The 24058-nt window shown below is 37.1% G+C and overlaps 1 protein-coding gene, 1 long non-coding RNA gene and 1 pseudogene across 11 annotated transcripts in view, besides 1 other annotated feature; 1 reads left to right on the top strand and 2 right to left on the bottom strand.

The window, feature by feature from the left end:
• Nucleotides 1-24058, top strand: part of CHRM2 (cholinergic receptor muscarinic 2) — a 151562-nt gene that overhangs the window by 63319 nt on the left and 64185 nt on the right. The window contains exon 3 of one of the 10 annotated variants that reach the window (NM_001006626.3): nt 19033-19110. The exons of the other annotated variants lie outside the window; for them this stretch is intronic. The gene's annotated coding sequence lies outside the window, so the exon portion shown is untranslated. The remainder of the gene's footprint in view (nt 1-19032; nt 19111-24058) is intronic. 10 annotated transcript variants of the gene reach the window in all.
• The window catches only part of LOC349160 (uncharacterized), a 265569-nt gene that overhangs the window by 33198 nt on the left and 208313 nt on the right, over nt 1-24058 (bottom strand). The gene's annotated exons all lie outside the window — the stretch shown is intronic.
• Nucleotides 4066-4235: an enhancer, noted in NCBI's record as "experimental_97763 CRE fragment used in MPRA reporter constructs". NCBI's record gives its function as "activates a minimal promoter by MPRAs in K562 erythroleukemia cells, with activity observed for the non-introgressed 7:136620868 variant allele {active_cell/tissue: K562}" and the evidence as "EXISTENCE:reporter gene assay evidence [ECO:0000049][PMID:34662402]".
• Nucleotides 6298-6741, bottom strand: KRT8P51 (keratin 8 pseudogene 51; annotated as a pseudogene).

Here is a 24058-nt window from a genome sequence, read left to right on the forward strand (position 1 = left end):
TTAGAAACCAGCACAAAGGACAAGGGGGCCAAACTTCTGAGATTTTTGGAAAACTCTCTCTGTACCTATTTTATTTACTAGTGATCTGTGTAGGTTGTATTTGGTGGGATAATGATAATAACAAAAACAAAAATAATAATCTGATTCAAAATTTACATTATGGATATTACAGAAATAAAAAGGACTATAAGGGAATACAGCGCACAACTGTTTGTCAACCAGGTAGGTTACATAAATAAAACGGACAAAATCTTAGAAACACACAAACTAATGAAACTGACTAAGGAGGAAACAAAATGGAAATAGACATAGTAAAGAGAGTGAATTAGTAATTTGAAAACTTCCCTCATAAAGCTCAAATGAGGACAAAAATGGCTTCACTGGTGAATTCTTCTAAATGCTTAAAAGAAGACTTTGTATCAATCCTATATCAAATCTTTGACAAAACAGAAGTGGAGCGTACCCTACCCAATCTTTTCTAGTCAGACAGAATAAAACCTTACATTTATGGTTAAGTGATTTTGACAAAGATGTCATCATAATTCACTGGGGAAAGATTAATCTTCTCAACAATTGTGCCACAACAGCTGGATATCCACATGCAAAATAATAAATTCATACAACTACCTTACATTATACATTAAAACAAACTAAAATGGATCATAGATATAAATATGGGAGTTAAAATTATATTAATAAAGAGGAAAACAGGATAATGCATTTTCTTGACCTTGAGTTAGTCTGATTTATTGGATATGACATTTAAATAGATTTTTAGGCTGGGTATGGTGACTCATACCGATAATCGCAGCACTTTGGGAGGCCGAGGCAGGTGGATCACTTGAGGTCAGGAGTTCAAGACCAACCTGGCCAACATGGCGAAACCTGGTCTATACTAAAAATACCAAAATTAGCTGGGCATGGTGGCGTGCACCTGTAGTCCCAGCTACTCAGGAGGCTGAGGCAGGAGAATCACTTAAACCTGGGAGGCAGAGGTTGCAGTGGGCCCAGATTGTGCCACTGCACTTCAGTCTGGGTGACAGAGCAAGACTCTGTTTCAAAAATAAATAAATAAATACATAAATAAATAAATAATTTTTTTAAATAGATAAATTGGTCTCCTACAAAGTTAAAAACATTTTTTACTTCAAAACAAATTGAACAGTCGCTCAATGGACAAAAATATTTGCAAATCATATATCTTTCAAGGAAGCTGTATCTCACAACTTCTAAAGAAACTCTTACAGCTTACTAAAGAAAAGTAATCCAATTAAAAGATGGGCAAATGATCGGAACAGACATTTCTCCAAAGGAGATAAACAAATGGTTATTAAGCATATTTGAATAATTATAAGCAACAATGATGATCAGCATCATTTGCCATTAGGGAAATATTAATGAAAATCACACTGAGATATTATTTCATACACACCAGGAGAGCTATAATCAAAAAGATAATATCAAGTGTTGTCAAGGATGTGGAGAAAATTGAACCATTTACGTTGTTGATAAGAATGAATAAAGTTGCAGCCACTTTGGAAAATATTTTGGTATTTCTTCAAAAATTTAAATATAGAGTCACCAACATGACTCAACAATTCTCCTTCTAGTAAAATGAAAATATACATCTATAAAATGTTTGTACATGAATGTTCACAGCAGTACTCTTTATAATAATCAAAAAGTGGAAATAACTCAGATTTTTATTAACTGATGAATAGATAAACAAAATGTGATATTTCCATAAAATGGAATATTATTCACCAATAAAAAAGAATACAGCACTTATATATGAGGTAATTCTTGACAACAGTAGTCTAGGTGAAAGAAGTCCATCACAAAGGACAACACACCATATAGTTCTATTTATACTGAATTCCAGAATAGGCAAATCTACAGAGATGGAAAGTAGAATGGTGGTTGAGTAGGGTTTGTGAGTTTGGGAAAATTGCAAGTAACGGCTAATGAGTATGAGATTTTTGTTCTGTTTTTGTTTGGTTTTGTTTTTTCAGAAGATGGTAAAAAATGTTCTGACATTGATTATGGAGACAATTGTATAGCTCTGTGACTGTACTAAGAAATCAATGAGTTGTAGATATTTAAGCAAGTGAATAGGATGGTTTTTGATGGTTTGTGAATAGGATGGTCTTAATTTTTAAAAATTGCAAATAAGTCAGGAAACCAAAGCCCCAAGCAATTTCTCCTATGGAATTTTATATTTCTCTGTCAATACCATTATTTTTCTAGTCACCAAAGCTTAAATTTGAGTCCTTTTAGATTCTTCCCTCTCTTGTTCTTCCTTCTCTTGAACACTGTGGTAAGTCAGTCTCTTCCTGGATAGTACCTAACATCTATTTTCTATTTTTTATTCTTATGTCCACAGAGATACTTCATGTCATGCCATTATCACTTATTGCCTTGATGACTAAAATTATTTTCTAGCCAGCCTCTGTAGTCCATCTCTCTTTAATTAGCCCTATACTCCAAATAACTCTTCCATCATCTAATCATCTTTCAAAACTGTTTAGTACTTCCTTATTGGAATAAAGTCCAAATTCACTTATTTGCCTTTTAGAACTCCCTCTTGGACATTTTGCTAGCTATTTTAAACAATATTCCTTTCTGGCCAAATAGGTCCAAATATTTCCTACTCAAAAAATCTAATTCTACCATTTTCCCAAAGCCCCCAAAAAAGATATTGGAAGGATAGGGTTTGGAAAGGAATAAATTAAACTGTCATTATTTATAAATAATGTAATTTTGTAACATGGAAAACCAAATACAATCTCCAGAAAAAATATTAAAAATAATAGAAGAGTTCTGTAAGCTTGCTAAACAAAAGATTAATATGCAAAAAGAAAACTGCCATTCTATGCCCTGAAAATAACCAAAAAAAAAAATGTAATTGCAAAGAGGACATTATTTGTTATCTTATCAAAGATTATCAATAAACTATAAATAGTAAATATGCAAGACATAAATAGGAAAAATTATAAAACTGTAAGATGCATTAATGAAGACCTAAATAAATGAAAATGAGGATGCATTCAAGGTTAAGGAAATGGTATTTTAAAGATATCAATTGTTCTTTAGTTGTACTTTAGATTCAGTGCAATTCTGATTAAAATAAACAAAGTCTAAAATTTAAATATAAGAAGAGCCAGGGAAATTGCAGATTTTTGCTCTACCATATATTAAGACTCACCATGAAGTTACACTAATTAATGCACTGTACTCCTGTTCAGGGGGGTAAACACATTGGTGAAAAGAATAAAATAGAGGCCTCAGAAACATACCTGTACATATATGGAAAATTATTTTCTTATATAAAGCATGCGGCATCAATTATGAAAGAAGTCAGGTAAGGCAGGGGTCAGATAAGGTACCAGAATTTGGGTGAGTACACAGTACCCCAGGCAAAACAGTAGATTAGACGATCGTTTGAAATCAAGCTGGATTTCATTAAAATGGTAGGTACGACTAGACAACTAAAAATCTAATGATGAAGTTTAAACAAGAATAAAGAGGAAACGTTCAACAGCAGGAACTGATATTTACAAATTGTCTTGAACTCGAAATTGTCCTCGCTGGGAGCAGCTGTTTCCATTGGGAGCTGTTTTGGAACATACTGTTTGATTAAGTGGCCCCACTCTGCAATTCTCTCTTATTTTTATTGAGTTAAATTACACTGGAGGCACGGAGACTTCTTTAAACTCATAACATCTATTGTTATTTTTATTTAAAAGGATCATTACTCCATTAGGATTGTTACAGGTATTCATGGAAGTGTTCCCATCCTCTGAGAATATGAGAGACTTGTCTAGGTTAGAACAGGGAACAACTCATTTCCTTTTCACCTAAACCTTAGTCCTCTGGAAATCTTTTCTTTCCTGAGAAAACAGAAAAAACTTACACCAAAGTCAGAACCTCTACCATTAACTGTCAGTGATACTTACATTAAAAATACACTACAGTTCCTCCCATTGTCACTGCCTTACCAATGATATAACCCTTCCTCTACCTTTGGGAAAGTGGTGTTTAATTTAAATGTATATTGCAGCTTCACACTGATTATCTCATTTGGAACTCTTGTTAAAATTTATTTTTAAGATTCAAAAACTTGAATCTACCCAATCTATGTTTGGGTAGCGGAGATATTTTTCATCATCACTCTAGCACAAGATACAAAATAATTGTCTAAAGTACCAACATACATGAAATAATGTAGTTTTCCAATGCCATGTTCTCTCCTAACATCAAGCAAGTGGTTCACCGCTAATGTTACTGGTCTGGATAAAGCCTTTGCCTCTGATATACTTTAGATTAAAATATATAAATACTCAAATCAAGACACATGGAGCAAAAGGAATATTTTAAATTCCCCTTGATCTCTGAATTTCCCAAATTCAGGAACAAAGGGTAAAAACTACAAACGTCACAACACATTGTACTGTAGCTAGGTAGAATAGATGACTAATAGACACCTAAATGGTCTGTTAAATGACTAATGTAAAAATTGTCTTAAAATGAATGACATGATTGAAACTATAAATCCATCACAGCAGATCACAGATCAGTCACAGATAAATTGTTTAAGATCCAACTCCATGTTTGAGTCTGTGTGCATGTACATGTCTCTGTCTGAGTTTTGTATATGCTTAGAAATAAAGAACTAAAGTAATACAGACCTTAAGTACAAGTATCATTTTCTTTGTTTTTGCTTCTCCCAATTTTCTAAATTTTCTTTAATTACCTTGTGCTACTTTGTAATCAGAAACAAAATCAATTATAATTTTCAAATATTTTCAACATTTTAATAGGTTCTAATACATTTAGAATTTTCTTCTATATTACCCTTCTATGTTTCTACTTGCTTTCTTCACTAGTTGAAAAGACTCTAAATTAAGATGTCTCGATATAGCTGGAGACTTTGTGTTATTGTTCTCCAATAATCTGCTGAATTTTAGACAGACCAAGGTCATCCATGCCTTCAAATCTTAAGATCAAACCATTTGTATCAAACTAGTCAACATGAATAGAGTTTCTTATAAGCAAAGTGATTTAAACTAGGAGTACATTGTACTTCATTACATGCTGAATACTAATATATCTGAGTGTCTCTAGCCCCAAAGACAGAGAATTTGACTGGAATAAAAATAGGTAGTTTTCAATAATTTTTCTGATTTACTCAGGGATCTACAGGAAGAATGACATCGCTTTCAATAGCCGCATAAATTAAGTTATCCTTCCTGGTGACTTAAACACACAGGTTCAGGACAGTTAGAATAACAGCCAAAGTTAGAATTTGGGCTCTGACAAAAATTCCTTTTTCCTCACTCTAATTATTATATTTAAACAAGAAGTCAAACTGAATGTAAGAATTAATTTCAGAATTTAATGATTCTAATATGCAAATTATTTTTTCCTCAGTTTTTTTTGAATATTAATTATTTTTCTCAGATCTATATTGCATGTAGATTCAGTATATTATAGCACATTCAACACTTGATCGCCCTTTTTTATTTAACTAAAAATAAGATATGAGGCAATGACTGTAATCACATTAGAATCCAGCTCCCACAGTAGAGTCAGAGCAGTTTGAATTGATATTTGTGTCACTGTAAAAAACCGACTGCTTGTCACATCTACTGGTGTTAAACACAACATCTGGTTCAGTATAATTAGGTTTTCAAGTAAGTTGATGAGAAAATAAGCCTTGTGCACTTATCCAACTGGAGAAATATAAAGAATTTTCTTGTGATTGACATAAATATATGAGATAGATTTGAAAAAAATAGAGAATCACATCTTGAGATTTCCACGCTTTTGACACCGAACGTGACCATTACATATCACTTAGAAAGGGGAAACAGAACTCAAATTTTCTTTCACCACCAAACACACAGTCCATGATGACATTTTTTGCATGAGTTAGTGGAAGAGGGTCTCCTGTGGTTGGTCCTAATTGAGGGTTTGTATCAGAAAAAAAGAGCAATGAAGCCTGATGGCTTTGCTGATAGCAAGCGCAACCACACTGGCACAGACAGGACTCTGAAAGTAACTGAATCACTGAACGTAATGGTGTATGAGAGAGGGCAGGCATTTCTGGAGTTGGGAATTGGTCAGCTAGGGGAGATGAAGTTATGTGACCTGGCACTTGTCTCCTCTTCTTGTCAGGATCTGAATACTATCTCTGCCCACTCTTCTGGAAGAGTCCATCGCACAGCAGGTTACTTCTCACTCAGGGTACCTTTGTTACTGAATCTTTAGCTAATGGCTTCAGAAACTTTTAAAAGAAGAGTGCTTCAGCTGCCGCCTAAGGTTGTTGATGTAGCTCTCGAACATGTTGTCCATGTTGCTCCGAGTCGTCGTCTGCTGCTGCAGGAGGCTCCACTTGGTCTCCAGCATCTTGTTCTGCTGCTCCAGGAACCGTACCTTGTCTATGAAGGAGGCAAACTTCTTGTTGAGGGTCTTGATCTGCTCCTTCCCCTGGATGCGCACGGCCTGGATGTTGGGGTTCACCTCTAGGATAAGGGGGCTCAGCAGGCTCTGGTTGATTGACCGTGACTGCAGTGATCCCTCCCATGCCGCTGGCCCCACCATAGCCGCTGCCCAGGCCACCCCGAAAGCTGCTGCTGTCCACTCGGGAGAAGCTCGAGGAGCTCATGCGGGCACAGGGCCCACTCGTGCAGGAGCGGCTGCTGAAGGCCCAGGGGCCAGAGGTGGACACCTTGTAGGACTGTACCCCTCCTGCGCTGCCCCAGAGCCTGGGAGGGAGGCCGCCATGCAGTGTAGCACTGGGAACAGGAGACCCACCTGAAGCTCAGCCCTAGCCCTCAGCCCACCCGCAGGGGAGTTTACTACCTGGGGACCCCCCTTGCCGATGCCTCCAGCTACAAAGTTGCTTTTTTTTTGGTCCAAAATAAAACTTCAGCTAGCTCTGCCAAAAAAAAAAAAAAAAAAAAAAAAAAAAAAAAAAAAAAAAAAAAAAAAGAGTGCTTGTGTAGCCATCAAACATTAATATAATTCCAATTCTAAGAGGCAGGATAACTAGAGATTACTTTAGTGTAGGAAACCTTTGCTAGTCTCCTTTCATAACTTCATTCAGAAGTTATGTGCTAATTTCTGTTCCACTGGGCCATGCAGACATCAACCTACTTGTCCCCATGAGGAAGCAGTAGCAGAAGGGAAACTGCCACAGATGCTCCTTCCAAGGTAATATCAATCACCTCTTTTCCCTCTAAGAGAAGTAGTTTTGTTTTGATTTGGAAATAATTACTATTTTATGTCTCCTTTCCTAGGCTTACACAGGTGTGGAGCTATTTAACTTGAAATTTCATTCAGGGCTTTACTGGTTTTAACAGCAGTAATATGCACTTGAGATTAACAGACTTGAGCTCAAGTTCCAGTTCTAATGCCCCTTTTGGGATTTGGGAAATTAACCTCTTAAGCGTCAGTGTTTCTTTTTCTGCAAAGTAAGGATAATATTATTTACTCTGCCCAACTAATGGGTGGTTGCAAAGAGTAAAGAATTAAAAAAAATACACAAAAGGACTTTTTATATGTTAGCATTCTATGTATATGTTATTACTTTCCTCTTTACAATAAGATTCTGGGTTGGGATGTCAAGTTAATAATTTTAGATGTTCTTTAATTTGGCTCTAACAAAAAATAATTAAAATAAGTATAGTGGGACTTACTCTGTTTTTCAAGTGAAGAGACAGAGCTTTATGAAAATTAAATAAATTAAGGAAAAGTCACAAAGCTAATAGAGTGGATAGAATAAAGCACACATTTCAGTACATAAAAATGGACATTTGATGAAGCTTCACAGGAGCAAGTATGCTTGTAATGAAAATTAAATATTGTGAAATGCAAGAGGATTTATCTATATAAATTCATTGCCAGTTAAACAATTATATCCAGTGAATATTGATTGTATAACAATTTTAGTCTAGGAACAGCTTACTAGGTACGATTTTATTCTGTACTGGGTTCTTCAGCTTTGTAATACATTTCCTAATGATTCTGATGAAATCCTAATAAAAAGCAATATATTTGTGGATAAGAAGAGCTGAACAGGATAGTTTTAAAATTTAGAATCATAAATGTAAGCAACATCAGTAGGTTTAAATAATGAGCCAAAACTAAGTGGTATTTAAGTTAACAAGTACATTACCTGCTAAGTTTCAAACAACAAACTAAACAAGAAAAGAATATAGCAGTTTGTGTGAAAGAAGCACTTCATGCCACAGTAAAATTGATATATCAGTGGTGTGATTCAGATGCTGTAAAGCCATGGATACAATCTTCGACAGCTGCCCGTATTTGAAGCAGTACAGTATACTCGCGTTGAACAGATCAGAGAGGAAGCCTTCTGTAGTGATTAAAGACATAGACTCTGGAATTTGCTTGCCTGTTAAATACTGCCTTTGTGATTGTCTTCTAGTTGTGTGACTTTGGAAAGTTACTCAATCATCTTGTACCTTATGTCTTTGACTGTAGAATGGAGTCAATAGTAGTACATAACTTACTGAGTTATTGAGATTTAAGAGCATAGCCAAATGCTCAAAATGAGACATGGCCCAAAGTCAGTGGCCAGTAGAACTGTCAATATTAATTCTGAATCACAAACTAAGAAAAAGCACTTCCAACCTGAAATAGTAACAGACAAGGTAAGTAGGATGCATAAAAATAATATATATTGCTGTTTATTGAACATTGATTAAGCTCCAAACCACGAACAAAAGCATTTGTATTTAATCCTTTCAAAAATTCTGGGTGTTAGGTACTATTATTTTCCTTTTGCATATGAAGAAACTGTGAATTAGATAGGTTATATAACACAACCAATTAAGTATAGGTGTTTTCTTGGCTTTGAAATACCTTTACCTATTAAGTAATGCTTATTTGAGGATCAGCTGTCACAACTGGGGACATTTATCTTGGAAGAGCAGTGACCAAGTAAAAGCATACTGTCTCCTAACATTTGAAGGACTGTCAAGTACAACAGGGGCCTGACCTTGCCCAGCTAATAATGCAGTCCTACATAAAGATTCTAGAACAGGGTCCTAGTTCATCCCCTTATCTGCTGAGGCCTGGGTTTACTGCATTAACCTCTTATCTGAACTTCATACCACTAAGCTTTTCTTAGTACAATTCATCCTGCATCCTGTTATGAGATTAATTTTCCAAAAATACTACCGCTGTTATATCAGCCTCTAGCTTAAAACTCTTCAGTGCTTCTTCCATGGTATGCAGGACAAAGTCCAGATACCTTAACTTGGCATGCAAAATCTTTCATGATCTGGTTGCAACCCAAATCCAGAGTCATTACTTTTAGAACCAAAAGGTGCCTCAGACATAATGCTGTCCCATCCCATCAATATCAAATGAGAAAATAAATTTCCAAAATGTCACATGATTTATCAAGAACCTACAGCTAGTTAAGAGAAGAACATGGGTGAATAGCTAGATCTCTACACCATTATTATAAACAAGACATTCAAATCAACAATAATTGAAGTGAAGCAAAGTGCGTTGTCCTGCACAGCTCAGTGTTCTCCCCACATGGGTTTCTTTCACGCAGCCGAGAGAGAGGCTTATCTTTTCCTATCCTGTTATTAGTGTGTTGCTGTATTTTTCTTTGAACCTATAAATATGTCTGGACTGATCTTCTGAAACACATATATGTAACTACAGGCAAAGTCTAGTGAAATGCCACTGAGAATATCAGTGTCACTGAGCTTGTTTTGCTTTTTGCTTTTGTTTTATTATTTGTCATTGTTAACTTTGAGACTGTTGTAAGGGAGAAGAGGTATCCTTGTGGTAGTGGATGCTTCTGTTTAATTGCCAGGATATCTTCATGGTTGATAGTTTAGAGGGACAATTGTAGGGTCTGGAGTTAGACAGTTCAGTTTCAACACCTTGGCTCTGTCCAGTTCTAGCTATATGACCTGGGGCTAGTAAGTACACCTCTCTGAGTCTCTGTTTCCTAGGCCTCAACAGGAACTTTCTATCTTTTAGATGCTTGTGAGGTTTTATGAAAATAATGAACTGGAAACACCTGTTCAGCCTGTAGAGTTACAGCCACACCTCAAGAGGAAGTGGGGTACAAGGAGTCCAGCTATTCTTTGTAGCAGTCTTACTGTCAAACACCCAGTATAGGCCTTTGCACATTAACAGAGTAGGATAAAGACATGAAAAATGCAATATTTGAGGTCTGTTGTTTTTCTTTCGTTGGGAACCACTGTCATTTCTCTGAAGGTCCCCAACATTTGCAGCAGATGTGAAGCTCCAAGAAAACGCCCCCAGTCAAGCAAACCACAGCAAATGTTTTCTTAACTTCTTTATATACTGGAGAAAGCAAGATTTTGTGTCCTGGCAGCTTCCAGAAGCTCACCCTCCTCCTTCCCTTAGGAAGTGCTTCTGGCCACCTGTTCCCAAGGACCAGTGTTCATTCTATTACTAAAACCCAATCACAAGCAGGGCACCCCTGTAGGACTCAATTTTTAGAGTGCCTATTTTGAAAGATAAAACACATTTTTGTTAGGAGGCCCAGAGTGCTGTTCTCTCATTCTTTCAGAGCTTGCATTCTTTCTCTGTGATGTCTGGCATTTTTAGTTCTCCTCTTGTCCCTTTACCCTTTCATTTAACACATCACTCCTTGACAGAGGCTCACCTTCACTGTCAGGGAAGAATAACCCCAGGGCAGGCTGCTTCTCATCATCTTCTGTGGTGAAGAGGAAAGCAGAGAAATAATTTAGTTTTCCCATATCTCTTTATCCTCTTTGATTTTTCCCTTGCTTTGCTGGTTTCTAGACACTCACTGGGGTGGCCACAGACAATGCACAAGAGAATTTTTTTTTAATTTAGTTCTTTTCTTCTCTCTTTTCTTTTCTCTTCAAAATTTTTCTTTGTCCTTCGTATTATTTTCTAACCCCTTACTGTCAGAGTCTTCATTCTGTGCTAGGAATTGCGTATGGACTCACATTTCCATTTTAATCATAGCTTCCAAGGGTTGGAAGGGAAATTAGAGGTCAACAAGCCCAGCTCACACTGGGGCTCTGTCTTCAGCTCAAATAACAGTCAGCCATTTAGCCTTTCTTTGGATACCTCCAGTGTCAGGAAGCTCCCTGTTTTGCAGTGCAGCCCATCTCATTATGGGAGCACAACCATCATCAGAATTCTTGCTCATTTTTAGCTGTCATCTGCCTCCTGGTGACATCCAATCATTAGAGAGGTTGTCTTAGTAATGTCTCTGGAGCCGTACTGAATAAATCTATCACCTCCTAGACATGTTAGCTCTTCTCCTGTGCTCTTTTTATTCTGTGCCTTTAACTATTTCTGATATTGTATGGCTTCCTGCTTTGCCTTTAAGCTCTGGTGGAAACAACTTAGCTTACAACTGTTGTTTTCCTCCAAAATGTTGGAAACAAACAGAATAATAGGAACATAACTTTCTGTCACTGGAATAGCATTTTTGTTTCTTTTACTAATGCAGCCTAAGACCCTTTGCATTATAATATGAGTTATATAATTATGTTAATTTATGCATCTATGATACATGGTGTTCCTATTATGCTTGTAACGGTCGCCAAGCTAATATTTTGTTGATCAAAAGTCTGTTTCAGAATCAGTGATTCTTTAATTTGGTATTATATTCTGGGAACGGTTTAGGAAAAGAGTAAAAGAACTTCTTCCAAAGACCAGAAAATGGGAACAGGAACTCACAAGTTTTTCAAGGCAGTATCAATGATTATCTCAGAAATTCAACAGGAGAATAGAACAGAGATTGAGATGGTCCATAGCTCACTTATGGAGGACACAAAGTATCTCAAAATCAATACCTCAAAAGAAGGGAACGTGCATATTTATAAATACAAGCAAAACACTGGCTAATAGACTTCTTTCAGAGAGTTTAATACATATAGATAACTCCTGCCCATGTATACAACAGGGCATATCTGTACCCATTAAGGCACTAATGCAGAAACAAATTGAAAGATTGTTCACAACTCTGTGGCAGATAGGACTCTCTGATATGTGAATGTGTACTTATTGACCACAGCTGCACTAATAGGACCAAAATGACCTTTCGAGTTGGCTTTCATTTCTTTATTTCAGTGGGTTTTGGGGGAACAGGTCATTTGGGGAACATGTTTGGTTACATGAATAATTTCTTTAGTGGTGATTTCTAAGATTTTGGTGCACCCAATACCCAAGCAGTGTACACTGTACCCAATGTGTCGTCTTTTATTCCTCACCCCCTCCCATCCTTTCCCCCAAGTCCCCAAAGTCTATTGTATTATTCTTCTGCCTTTGCATCCTCATAGCTTAGCTTCCACTTATAAGTGAGAACATACAATGTTTGTTTTTTCACTCTCGAGTTATTTCACTTAGAATAATGGTCTCCAATTCTAACCAGGTTGCTGCAAATGCCATTATTTTGTTATTTTGTTCCTTTTGATGGCTGAGTCATATTCCATATATGTATGTATGTATGTGTGTGTGTGTGTACATGTATACATATATGTGTACATATATACGTGTGTGTGTACATATATACATATATATCACAGTTTCTTTATCCACTGGTTGATTGATGAGCATCTGGACTGGTTCCATATTTTTGCAATTGAAAATTGTGCTGCTATAAACATTTCATGTGCAAGCATCTTTTTCATAAAATGACTTTTTCCCTCTGGTTGACACCCAGGTGTGGGATTACTGGATCAAATGGTAGTTCTACTTTTAGTTCTTTAAGGAATCGCCACATTGTTTTCCGTAGTGGTTGTACTATTAGGTTGGTGCAAAAGCAATTGAAGTTTTTGCCATCACTTTTAATGGCAAAAACCACAATTGCTTTTGCATCAGCCTAATAGTTTACATTCCCACCAGCAGTGTAAAAGTTTTCTTTTCACCACATCCATACCAACATCTTTTTTTTACCTTTTTTGATTATGGCCATTCTTGCAGGAGTAAGGTGGTATTGCATTATCATTTCGATTTGCACTTCCCTGATAATTAGTGAAGTTGAGCATTTTCCCATATGTTCGTTGGCCATTTGTGTATCTTGTCCTTAGCCCACTTTTTGATGGGATTGTTTTTTGTTTTTTTTTCTTCTTGATTTGAGTTCTTTATAGATTCTGGATATTAGTCCTTTTTCAGATGCATAGATTGCAAAGATGTTCTCCCCCTCTGTGGGTTGTCTGTTTACTCAGCTGATTATTTCTTTTGTTGTGCAGAAGCTTTTTAGTTTAATTAAGTCCAATCTATATATCTTTGTTTTTGTTGCATTTGCTTTTGGGTTCTTGGTCATGAAGTCTTTGCCTAAGCCAATGTCTAGAAGGGCTTTTCCAATGTTATCTTCTATAATTTTTATGATTTCAGATCTTAGATTTAAGTCTTTGATCCATCGTGAGTTGCTTTTAGTGTACGGTGAGAGATGAGGATCCAGTTTCATTTTTCCACATGTGGCTTGCCAGTTATCCCAGCACCATTTATTGAATAGGGCGTCCTTTCCCCACTTTGTTTGTGTTTGCTTTCTTGAAGATCAGTTGACTGTAAGTATTTGGCTTTATTTCTGGGTTCTCTATTCTGTTCCATTGGCCTGTTTTTATACTAGTTCCTTGCTGTTTTGGTGACTATAGCCTTGTAGTATAATTTGAAGTTGGGTAATGTAATGTGTACAGATTTGTTCTTTTTGCTAACTCTTGCTTTGGCTATGCGGGCTCTTCTTTGGTTCAGTCACATATAGCATGAAAAATCTTCCTGGAGGCATTCTCACCTCAATTTTTAAGATATGTTTCTTCATTTGTACTAATATTAACATATTACATTTCAGCAATCATTTACTGGGCACTGACTGTGTGCTGGATAAACACTAAGCAATTCCTATCTTATTTAATCTCAGTTAATCTGCACCACTCGATAAGGCAGACACTTTTATTCTTTGTTAGTGGAGAAGCAAATTCTATATAATATTTTTATGTTATGTAGATTGAAAAATAGCAGTATGTTGAAATGGAAAGAGAACCAGACTAGGGACTGCCAGGCAGAGATTCTTGTCCCGGCTTTGCTCCTAGCTAAATTCACATCATGAAAATCATTCAATTCTTAGATTCAATTGCTGCAGCTGTCAAAAGGGAATAACAATATATCTCAGGATTATCCTATAAATTAAGTTATATAATGTATGTAAAAATGTTCTGAAAATTAAAAGTATTGTATTACCCTAATGTATTTGAATATATTATCAGAAATTCTAACTTCAAGGTGTTTGATGTTGGAAACAGTATCAAAATAGGTTATATAAGCTGATAAAATTATATTAAATTATTTGTGTATTAATTTGCAAAGCATTTATTTAATGCCTGCCAATTAGGCACTCTGCCGAGTAGTAGGAGATACAATGATACATAAAACATGACAGGGCTTTTCCCTCAACATTTTTACAATCTAAAAAGACTTCACTGGTGCTATTGCTATATTTCAGAAAAGTGTAATTTTATTTCCAGCATATGTTCATTTGTATCTCAATAAACCGTACTCCTTTTCATAGATTTCTTGTGACTGAAAGTCCAGTGGGAAAAACTCATATTTTTGTTTTTGTGGGGGTTTATTTGTTCTATTTTTAATACACTCCCAATACAGAATGTATACTTTAGCTTAATACCTGTATTTTCTGCGCTTCTTTCTATTTAAACTTCCTACAAGTAGAATAATGCTACTCATTTGTAAATACATTTGTAAATCACTTGAATCTACAGAGGCATCATAATTTAAAAATATTCACATAACCATCTGTCTCCAAATTAAAGGCAGGGAGGTATGGAAATACTTATGATGGAAGAATTTTTCTCCAAGAAGGAAGAAAAGGATCTCAAAGGCCACTTTCTGACTCTGTGGGGCCCTTCTGGGTCACTGTCAGCATCTAGGTCTTCAGTTACAGACCTGGGGAATGGCAATCAGAAGAATTATTGCTGTTACTTTCCCAGGTAGATGGTATGCCCAGGGGAGCAAAAGGTTTAGTTAGTGGATTCATTCTATTGAAATATTCGTCCAGATAAAATCCTCCATTTTATGTTAGCCAAATAGTTTTCACTTCTCATCTTCAGTGATAACATCAACCAAAGCTTCACCATCTCAGCAGATTAAGGAAAGATTTGGAAGGTCCTATGTCCAAGGCCAGCAAATAGTTTGGAACACTGTGAAAGCTGTCGTGGTTTTTTTGTTTGTTTTTCTTTTTTTCATTTTATTTTACATGGGAAAGTAGCAGAGAAAGGAAAAACATTAAAAGACAGATATTTGATCTAGAAAAAAATATGTATGCTTTTTTTCCTTAAGTTTTCTCATTTTCTTAATATCTAGGGATGGGGAATATTAGAAATAATGTTACAAATAAAATGTTAAATTGAAGGAAAACAATACAGTAATTGATAATTGAGGTATTTAGGTTTTTCTACTTTGATGACAAAGGTTAATGTAGACATGTAGTAAAGTAATTATTATGGATTTTTATCAATCTAACTATCAGCACAATCTTTCCTTGGAAAGCTTATTAGAGCTCTTTCAACATTGCTGGTTTGGCCATCTGCCCAGGAGGCCTCTTTATGTTGTAGACCTAATAACCTGCTAGGAATTCTTCCTGTCTTGGATTTCTGCTAAGAAACCTGCTTCTTTAGAGAAAATGATTACTCCTAATTTTATTATTATTAATGTTTATAATTTACAGATCAAAAAATAGAGATTAAAGACCTTGAGAAGGCTAGTGTTGATGGGACCTGGTAGTGATATTCAGTGCAGGTAAGAGAGGCTGGCTTCCACAGAGTCAGGAGAAAATCTTGGGTACAACTGGAGATAAGTCAATAGTTGGCAAGGATGGGTAACTAGGCCTTTCTGTCTTAATAGCCTCAATTCCTAATAATATAGGTGACAAGAGACAACTGCAAGAATTGGGGAAATTTGAGAATGGCAGTGAAGGTTTGAAATGGCTATTGAGGGAATTTGGAGGGAGAGATGACTTCTGGTGGGGCTGGGATCTTCTCTTCATTGTGGTTCCAGTCCTCATGGCTGGGGGATTGTATGCAGCAGTAGGCAACAGTTAACTGTGCTGCTGGAGTATCTACAATGCTTCTGTTCACAGGACAGATTCTATACAACAGCAAAGAGCCAGTGGCCCACATCCACCAATGCATAAAGTAATGGACTATGGAGTAACTATCATCTAGATAGAAATGAAAATGAGAAAATGCAGTTAAGAGAAACATTATTAACTGGAAGATAGAGGGCCTATTATGGGGTCTTTCTACGGTGGTTGAGATGTTGGAAGAAAGAAAGGTGGTGAGCTGGAAAACTAAATTGAAGTCATAAAGTAGAATATTAAAGTTTAAGATTTCAAGGATAGAATAATTCTGATTTATAGTAAGTAGGCCAAACTTGTGCCAATGGGAGTGGATCACTGGAAATGAGCGGAAGTGAGGGCAAAGTTGAAGAGGTCACAAAAATCTTAGTTTAGGACATTTCATGGGTTAACTGTGAGGACATTTAAGTCAACCAAGCACTTAGCGGAATCAGAAGTGTGGAAGAGTATCATGAGTCCAGAGCCAAAATGTTGTGAAAGTGACTGGGTGACCACGGATTTGGCTATGTGGCAGAGGAGGTAGGATTAAATAGGCATGAATGTCAGGTTTGTTTCTATTTGGTTAGGAAATAGCTTGAACAATAAAAAAGAAATGAGTCCTTTCTTCCACCACAGCTCCTCTGGTGAACAGAGAGTGAGGCAGTAAGCAGTCTCCTGTTGATAAAAAAGAAATGAGTCTTCTCTTCCACCACAGCTCCTCTGGTGAACAGAGAGTGAGGCAGTAAGCAGTCTCCTGTTGATCATCTGAGAGGGAAGCATCCTTGGGAATGGGAAATAGCATCAAGTCAGTTCAGAGTGGATCCACAGACATTTCAGAACAAGAAGGGAAGGTAGTGCAGCTATGGAAGGCAATCAAGGTGGAATGAAGGGGGCGTGATAGAAGGACATCAAGAACAAACAGCAAGATGTTATTACCTATCTAGAACAGCAAACCAAATATGTATCTGTGCTAGTCACACAAAGACACTAGGCGGTGTCCTTGGATAGATGGCCTTTGTTTTCTTAGTGGCTCATTGCAAAGAGGCCTGTAATATAGAAGGAAAAGGAATCAGAAACTAATATTTAATACACTACAGATAAATTATTTAATCTTCATTACAAACTCCAAAATTTAGAGATAAGTAGCTTCATTTTTTAAAAGATGAAGACACAGAAACTCAGAGAGGCGAAATATTTCTTCCATAATTATTAATGTCAGCAAGTGCTTAATATAAAACTCCAGCTGGGCACTATGATTCACACCTGTAATCCCAGTACTTTGGGAAGCTGAGGTGGGAGGATCACTTGAGGCCAGGAGTTCAAGACCAGATTGGGCAACATAACAAGACCCTGTCTCTGCAAAACTAAAAAAAAAAAAAAAAAAATCAGCCAGGCATGGTGGTGTGCACTTGCAGTCCTAGCTACTTTGGAGGCTGAGGTGGGAGGATTGCTGGAGCCTAGGAGTTCAAGGATGAAATAAGTTATGATTGTGCCACTGCATTCCAGCCTGGGTGATAGAACAAGATCCTGTATTGAAAAGAATTCCCATCTGGCTCTGGAGGTATACTTGCTCTATATGAGTCAAATAATTTATATTTCTTTATCTTGAAAAAGTAGCAATAACATCAACTTTTTAAAACAGTATTTGATTTTTTTTTTTTTTGGAGACAGAGTCTTGCTGTGTTGCCCAGGCTGGAGTGCAGTGGCGCGATCTCGGCTCACTGCAAGCTCCACCTTACTTATTTATTAGATTCAAACATAATGGTTTTTCTATAGCATAAGCCTGCGCTCTAAGGAATTAGTAGGTACAAAATTATAACTATTCACCTTCATGAGATAAGACCAAACTGTTTTCCACAGGGGAAAATTTCTCCAGCAATGTAGACAGGATCACATTTATTCACATTCTTTCCATCATCTGGTATTATAATATTTTGTTGTTATTGCCTCTCTAGTGGGAGTAAAATGATACCTCATGGTGGTCTTCACTTGCATTTTTCTGACTAATAATCTGATTACTAATTAAACTAAACATCTCTTTTTTATTGGTCATAAATATTTTCTCTCCTGTTTGTGGGGATTTTTGCTCATTTTTCTATTGGGGTGATTGTTCTTTTTATTAAGATCATCTCATTAAATGTAGAGTTTGCATCAAGAAGACGAAGTGCCCTCGTTCCTCATCAGGACAAGTGTGGGTTCTGGGAGGCAAAAGGTCCCTGTAGGACAATAGAGATACAAATCATAATGGGGATGGATCCCCCTCCAGGATGCTCCTGTCCCTGCGGGATGGGGGTGGGAGTGGGGATCAGGGTAGTTGAGGCAATGACAGGCTTCCATGGAACCTCCCATGATACCTGTCTTCAGTTCAGAGGAGTGGGGGTTATTTGCCAGGAAATGGATGGTGCCTGAGGCTTTCCCACATCTGTGAAGGAATTTAGCATTCTGTGGAAAGTCCCCAATCTCAAAACCATCCACTGTAGGAATTGAAATTGCAATAAAAATTCCAGTGAACGATGTAAATGAATAAATAAAGTTGGATTTCAGTCCTCAAGCTAAAAACAACAAAAAAAGAAAAAGAAAATAAAAACAGATGAAGAAGTTGCAAAAAGTAGCGTAGCAAATTGGTAGAAGATTCTGAACCAGGACTGAACAAGTCCAGTGCTTTTACAGAATAGCATGAACCCCCAACCTGTTGTTGTTGTTGTTGTTGTTGTTGTTGTTGTTGTTGTTGTTGTTTCGAGAGAGAGAATCTTGCTCTGTATCTCAGGTTACAATACTGTGGCAAAAACATGGCTCACTGCAGCCTGGGCTCAAGTGATCCTCCTGCCTCAGCCTCTGGAGTATCTAGAACTACAGGCACATGCCACCATGTCCGGCTAATTTTTTTTATTTTTTTGCATATTGCCTAGGTTGTCCAGGCTGATCTTATACTCCTGGCCTCAAGTGATCCTCCTGCCTCAGTCTCCAAAAGCACTGGGAATACATAGGTGAGCCAGCCCGACATGGCCTCCATTCCCTGAGACTCATTCTCAAACAGAGGAGGCCCCCTGGGTGAAGCTACTTGCATAAGACCATGTGGAATATCCAGCTCGAATGGTTCTTGTTACTTCAGCTTCATTCTTTTAATAGAAATGAGGCAAAAGGTGCCAGGCACATGGATGACAAAGAAACCCTGTCAATTTTGAAGATACATAGAATTTGTTGTAAAGCAACCACCAGCACAGCACCTCCCAGTCTGGAGAAAGGTGGGGGTGAATGTAGATTTGATGTGAAACCTTGTGTAAGATATATAATAGGCACTAGAGAAATGACACTTGGCGAAGAAAATAATAAAATATGACTTGCTAGAGAGCCTGGCTTTGCTGACCAGCTGTAGGTTCTATAACTGCAGCTTACGTCCCTTTTGTTTCACAGTATTTATAACGCACTTGGCAGATCTGCATTCTTCCCTCTCTGATTGCAAATAAGAAAAGAGGGAGTGAGGGGTTGGCATATGGGAAGAGGATGAAAAGGGATGATTCGCTGTCCTTTCCTAATGATATCCGGAAAGAATAACTTGGGATCTGGGATAGAAGAAACTTACACAAATACAATATTTCAGTGAATTTATTCATTCTTTCATTGGCTCCTTCCCACCCTCCACATTCGTCACTGTAAGCACTGGATCACTTTCCTTGTATGGTATGGTGAATTGACTAGTGAGAAGAGACCTGTTTTTCTACTGAAATGGCAACCTTTAATCTACATGCATTCTTTGCCTTTCCTCCTGCTATAGGTTTTCCAGGTCCTGGCACCCATATTTTCTTCCTGCTCTTTTCTCTCTCTTCTTTCTTCAGTTGTTTTCAGATTGAGGAGAAAATAGTATCTTTGGGGCATCTCTTATCCACAAGCAGGTTTAGATTACTTCCCTGTTATATGTACAGGATTTGTCGCCCTAGACCCTCAAATGCTAAACTGAAATTCCAGATCTTTAGGGTGGGAGCAGAACACAACTTATTGGTCCCACTTCGACAAGGGCAGAAGTAGATTCGAGGGCTTGTGCATACGTGGAGAGAGAAAAGAGCTTTGAAGATATCCACAATACCTTTCCAACATTTGGAACAGGACAAATAATTATGCGTTTCTAATATGATGACATAAAATATATTTATAACTATGCCATGTTCTCTCACTACAGAGTGCAAAACATTCTGTTAAAAGCAGTATTTTAATTTCCCTCTTATTTCCTCATTTTTCTCCTTTCTTCTTCTATTATTCTTCTAATTGCTTTATTGATTTATAGACTTATTTAAAGCGTATCGAAGATCTTATTATCCAGCTCTGTCAATTCACAAATGAGAAATTGAGAACCAGTGGCATTGTTCAAATTGTTTATGTACTTCAGTCATGAAGTTCTGGTCGTCTGACTTCTACACTGCTGTTCTCTACCCATGATGACTGAGTTTCTACTTTAGGAAACTGCCTCTCAGACATCTTTTTTAAAACTTTTTTTTTTAAGTTCAGGGGTACATGTGCAGGTTTTTTGCATAGATAAACTTGTGTCACGGGGGTTCACTGTAGATTATTTCATCACCCAGGTATTAAGCCTAATACCCATTAGTTGTTTTTCCTGATCCTCTTCTTCCTCTGACCCAGAACCCTCCAATAGGCCCCCGTATATGTTGCTCCCTCTATGTGTTCATGTGTTCCTATCACTTAGCTCCCACTTATGAGTAAGAACATAAGGTATTTGGTTTTCTGTTTCTGTGTTAGTTTGCTAAGGATAATGGCCTCTAGTTTCATGTTGGATTCATGTCCATGCAAAGGACATGATCTCGTTCTTTTTTATGGCTGCATAGTATTCCATGGTTTATATATACTGCATTTTCTTTATTCAGTCTATCATTATGGGCATTTAGGTTGATTCCATGTCTTTACTATGGTGAATAATGCTGTAATGAGCATAAATGTGCATGTGTCTTTATGATAGAACTATTTGTATTCCTTTGGGTATATACCCAGTAATGGTATTCTTGGGTTGAATCGTATTTCTGTCTTTAGGTCTTTGAGGAATCGCCACACTGTCAGACATCTTTTGATAGACTTGTAGACTGGCTCTGTTTTTTGTTCCACTTTGTATTGTTTCACATCAGTAAAATTAATATACAGTCTGACTGTTTAGAGACTGAGCATCTAAGTGCCCCACTACCCCTATGTTACTTGTGAATATTAATAACTGTAAATTTCTGGTAGTGACAAATGGACCCTTCAGAGACCTCAGTAGAGTCCTGATCCTCTATAAATTACCAAAACGCTATTAAGTGTATAGATAGATTTTTCTGGTCTATGTTTTCTATGATTTTCCAAAATCACAAATATCTTAAGTCATATGAGTACTTTAATTTATTTTGTCTATCCTTAGAAACCCATAGTTAGTAAAATTTCACAGCCATGGGACATTAAGTTATGCCACATGCCAAATTACTCATTCAACAAACATTCACTGAATGCCTGTTACGTGCATTCTACTGACAGGCAGTGAAGATGAAAAAGATGGATGTGACTTTTTCCTCCGAGAGCTCATAGACAGTGGCTGAAACAGACATGCAAACCAAAAATTTCTTATGCAGAGCAGGCATCCTATGCCTTAAAATTTAATGAAAAAAAAAAACAAATATATTTCAGACGGACAAAGCACAACAGGAGAAGGCAATGCAGCATCAGAAAGGCAGTATCTGTTGGCTCCTAGTTGTACCCCACTTGTCCTCAGAGAAGGTCCAGCAACACTAACCATGGAGGCAAGAAGACTAATCCAAGCAGCACAGCACTGCCTCTGACTGGCACATGCATTAGGACATTTTCCTATCCATCCTCTTACCATGGTGAGAGGAGATCTTGGGCCAGAGCTGGACTGGTGGACTATGAATCTAGGTAGAGGAATGGCCTGTTTATTATGAGAAGAGCCTCCAGGGCTCAGATGCTTATATCAGTCCAGAACTTTGTGTTCTTCCTTTGAGGTAAGAGTGAGCTGACACCTTGATAAGCTACCAAAAGGGAAGAGGAAATGATCCAAGGCCATCTAGATTCTTCTCTCCTCATTCTTTATACACATACATATGCATTATATACATATGCATATACCTATACCTATACATTTATATATGTGTGTATTTTTCCCCTCCACAATGCCATTATTTTAAAAAGTTGGTGGTCTGTTGTCTGAGCAAATAAAGTAGGTACACACATGTGTTTAGCTTTGTGTGAAATCTCAAACTTTCACCATTCTCTCCACATGTTATCCTCATCTCATTTTTAGGATCAAAAGAAAGTAAGTTATTTCATGATTCTGTCGATTTCTTCCTCCATATTACCTGTCTTTCTCTAAGATCTTACTAAATTGTAGATTATCTTCTAAACTTAATAACATAGTTTATTTTATTTCTGTTGACAAACCTTGCATGTCTCCTCTTCATATTCAATGGATTCTCTACCTGAACTCCCTTTCTGTTTATTTCTCCCTCATGAACAGTGAGTTCATGGAACTATAAACAATGTAGAAAGATCAAAATACAGAAAAAATATGAAAGACTTTTGAAAAGGTAGGGGCACTGGATGTATTTTATTCTCCACTCTTTAACTGTGATTGGAGCCCAGGAAGCTGAATGATCTTGACTACATCCATGGATTCTTCCATCCTCGTAGCTGCCAGTTGGGTTCAACCAATGGGAAGCATCAGAAGATGATCAAGAGACAAGAGGACAGTTGGATTAAGATATTCATAACCTCACTACCCCTTCTGGGAGATCACTATAGATTGTTGCCTCCCTCTGCTAAAGACCACAGCTCTTGGCAGACATTCCTCAACACAGACCTATATTCCTGGTTCCAGGAATCCCCTCCTCTTCCCACTTTGGGCCTAATGGTATTAATACCCCTACTAGTACTATACCCTAAGTGCTGCACTTTCCTTTCTTGGTTTCTTAAGGACATTCTCGCATAGTTGTGTTGTAGATGGTAGGATAAATGAGCCGTAAAAGAGTTTTAAAAGTTCGTGTTTTCTTTCACATTGGGCAACTCCTTTTGAGTAAAATATTCACCTCTCCTCCTTCTTTCTCATGATTTTGAAATGCATCCTGACTGCTTCCTTTACTAGCCAAAGTATTTTATAATCCATTCATATTAGTGCATTAAATAACTCAATTCTTATGAAGCATGCTGCTGATCTGAATAATAATGTTATGAGTGAAAATGGCACCTTTAGTACTATTACTCTGGGGCTTCAACTTAGCATTTGTTTACTTCCTTGGAATACTCTTGTCCTCGGGTTTTCACATTCTACCTGGCTCCTAATTATTTCCCAATGGTAAAGTGCCAATTCTAATAGTAGAATAAGATGGGATACATTCAACCTTATGCACTGTCACCTATTATTCGTCAAATTCCAGCCATGAGTTGGATGAGCTCTGTATCCATGGCCATGACAGAACATAGTCCAGCTTGGCCATTCATTTCAAAAGGAATGTCCTGGCCTTTGTCTCTCTGTGCTTAAGGAGGCACCCTTTGCCCTTCCAAGCAGTTGGAGTATACTAGGACGTATGGTCATTGGTCTAGGCAGTTGGTTTTGCAGAATTTTGGAATAACTATCTTCACACATTTAAGTCTGGAGCATTCTCTATGCCCTTTAGTACTAATTTTTGAAAAATATTATCATAAAATGAAGTTGATAAAAAGTAATAAAGGTCTGTTCTCTTGATGCCTGAATTTCAACTTGGCATCTTAAGCATACATTATTTATGCAAAGTGTTATAAATCACCATATGCTCATTAACTACTTGTTGTCTGCACATATAATGAGGGTTTTTTGTTTATTTTTAATATATTTTATTCTACTTGAATAAATGGTAGTAATGTTTCAACTGATATTTACTGAGTAACTTCCCTCATCCTTATACTACT

This window comes from Homo sapiens, chromosome 7, assembly GCF_000001405.40.
Source record: "Homo sapiens chromosome 7, GRCh38.p14 Primary Assembly".
In the NCBI taxonomy this organism is placed as follows: domain Eukaryota; kingdom Metazoa; phylum Chordata; class Mammalia; order Primates; family Hominidae; genus Homo; species Homo sapiens.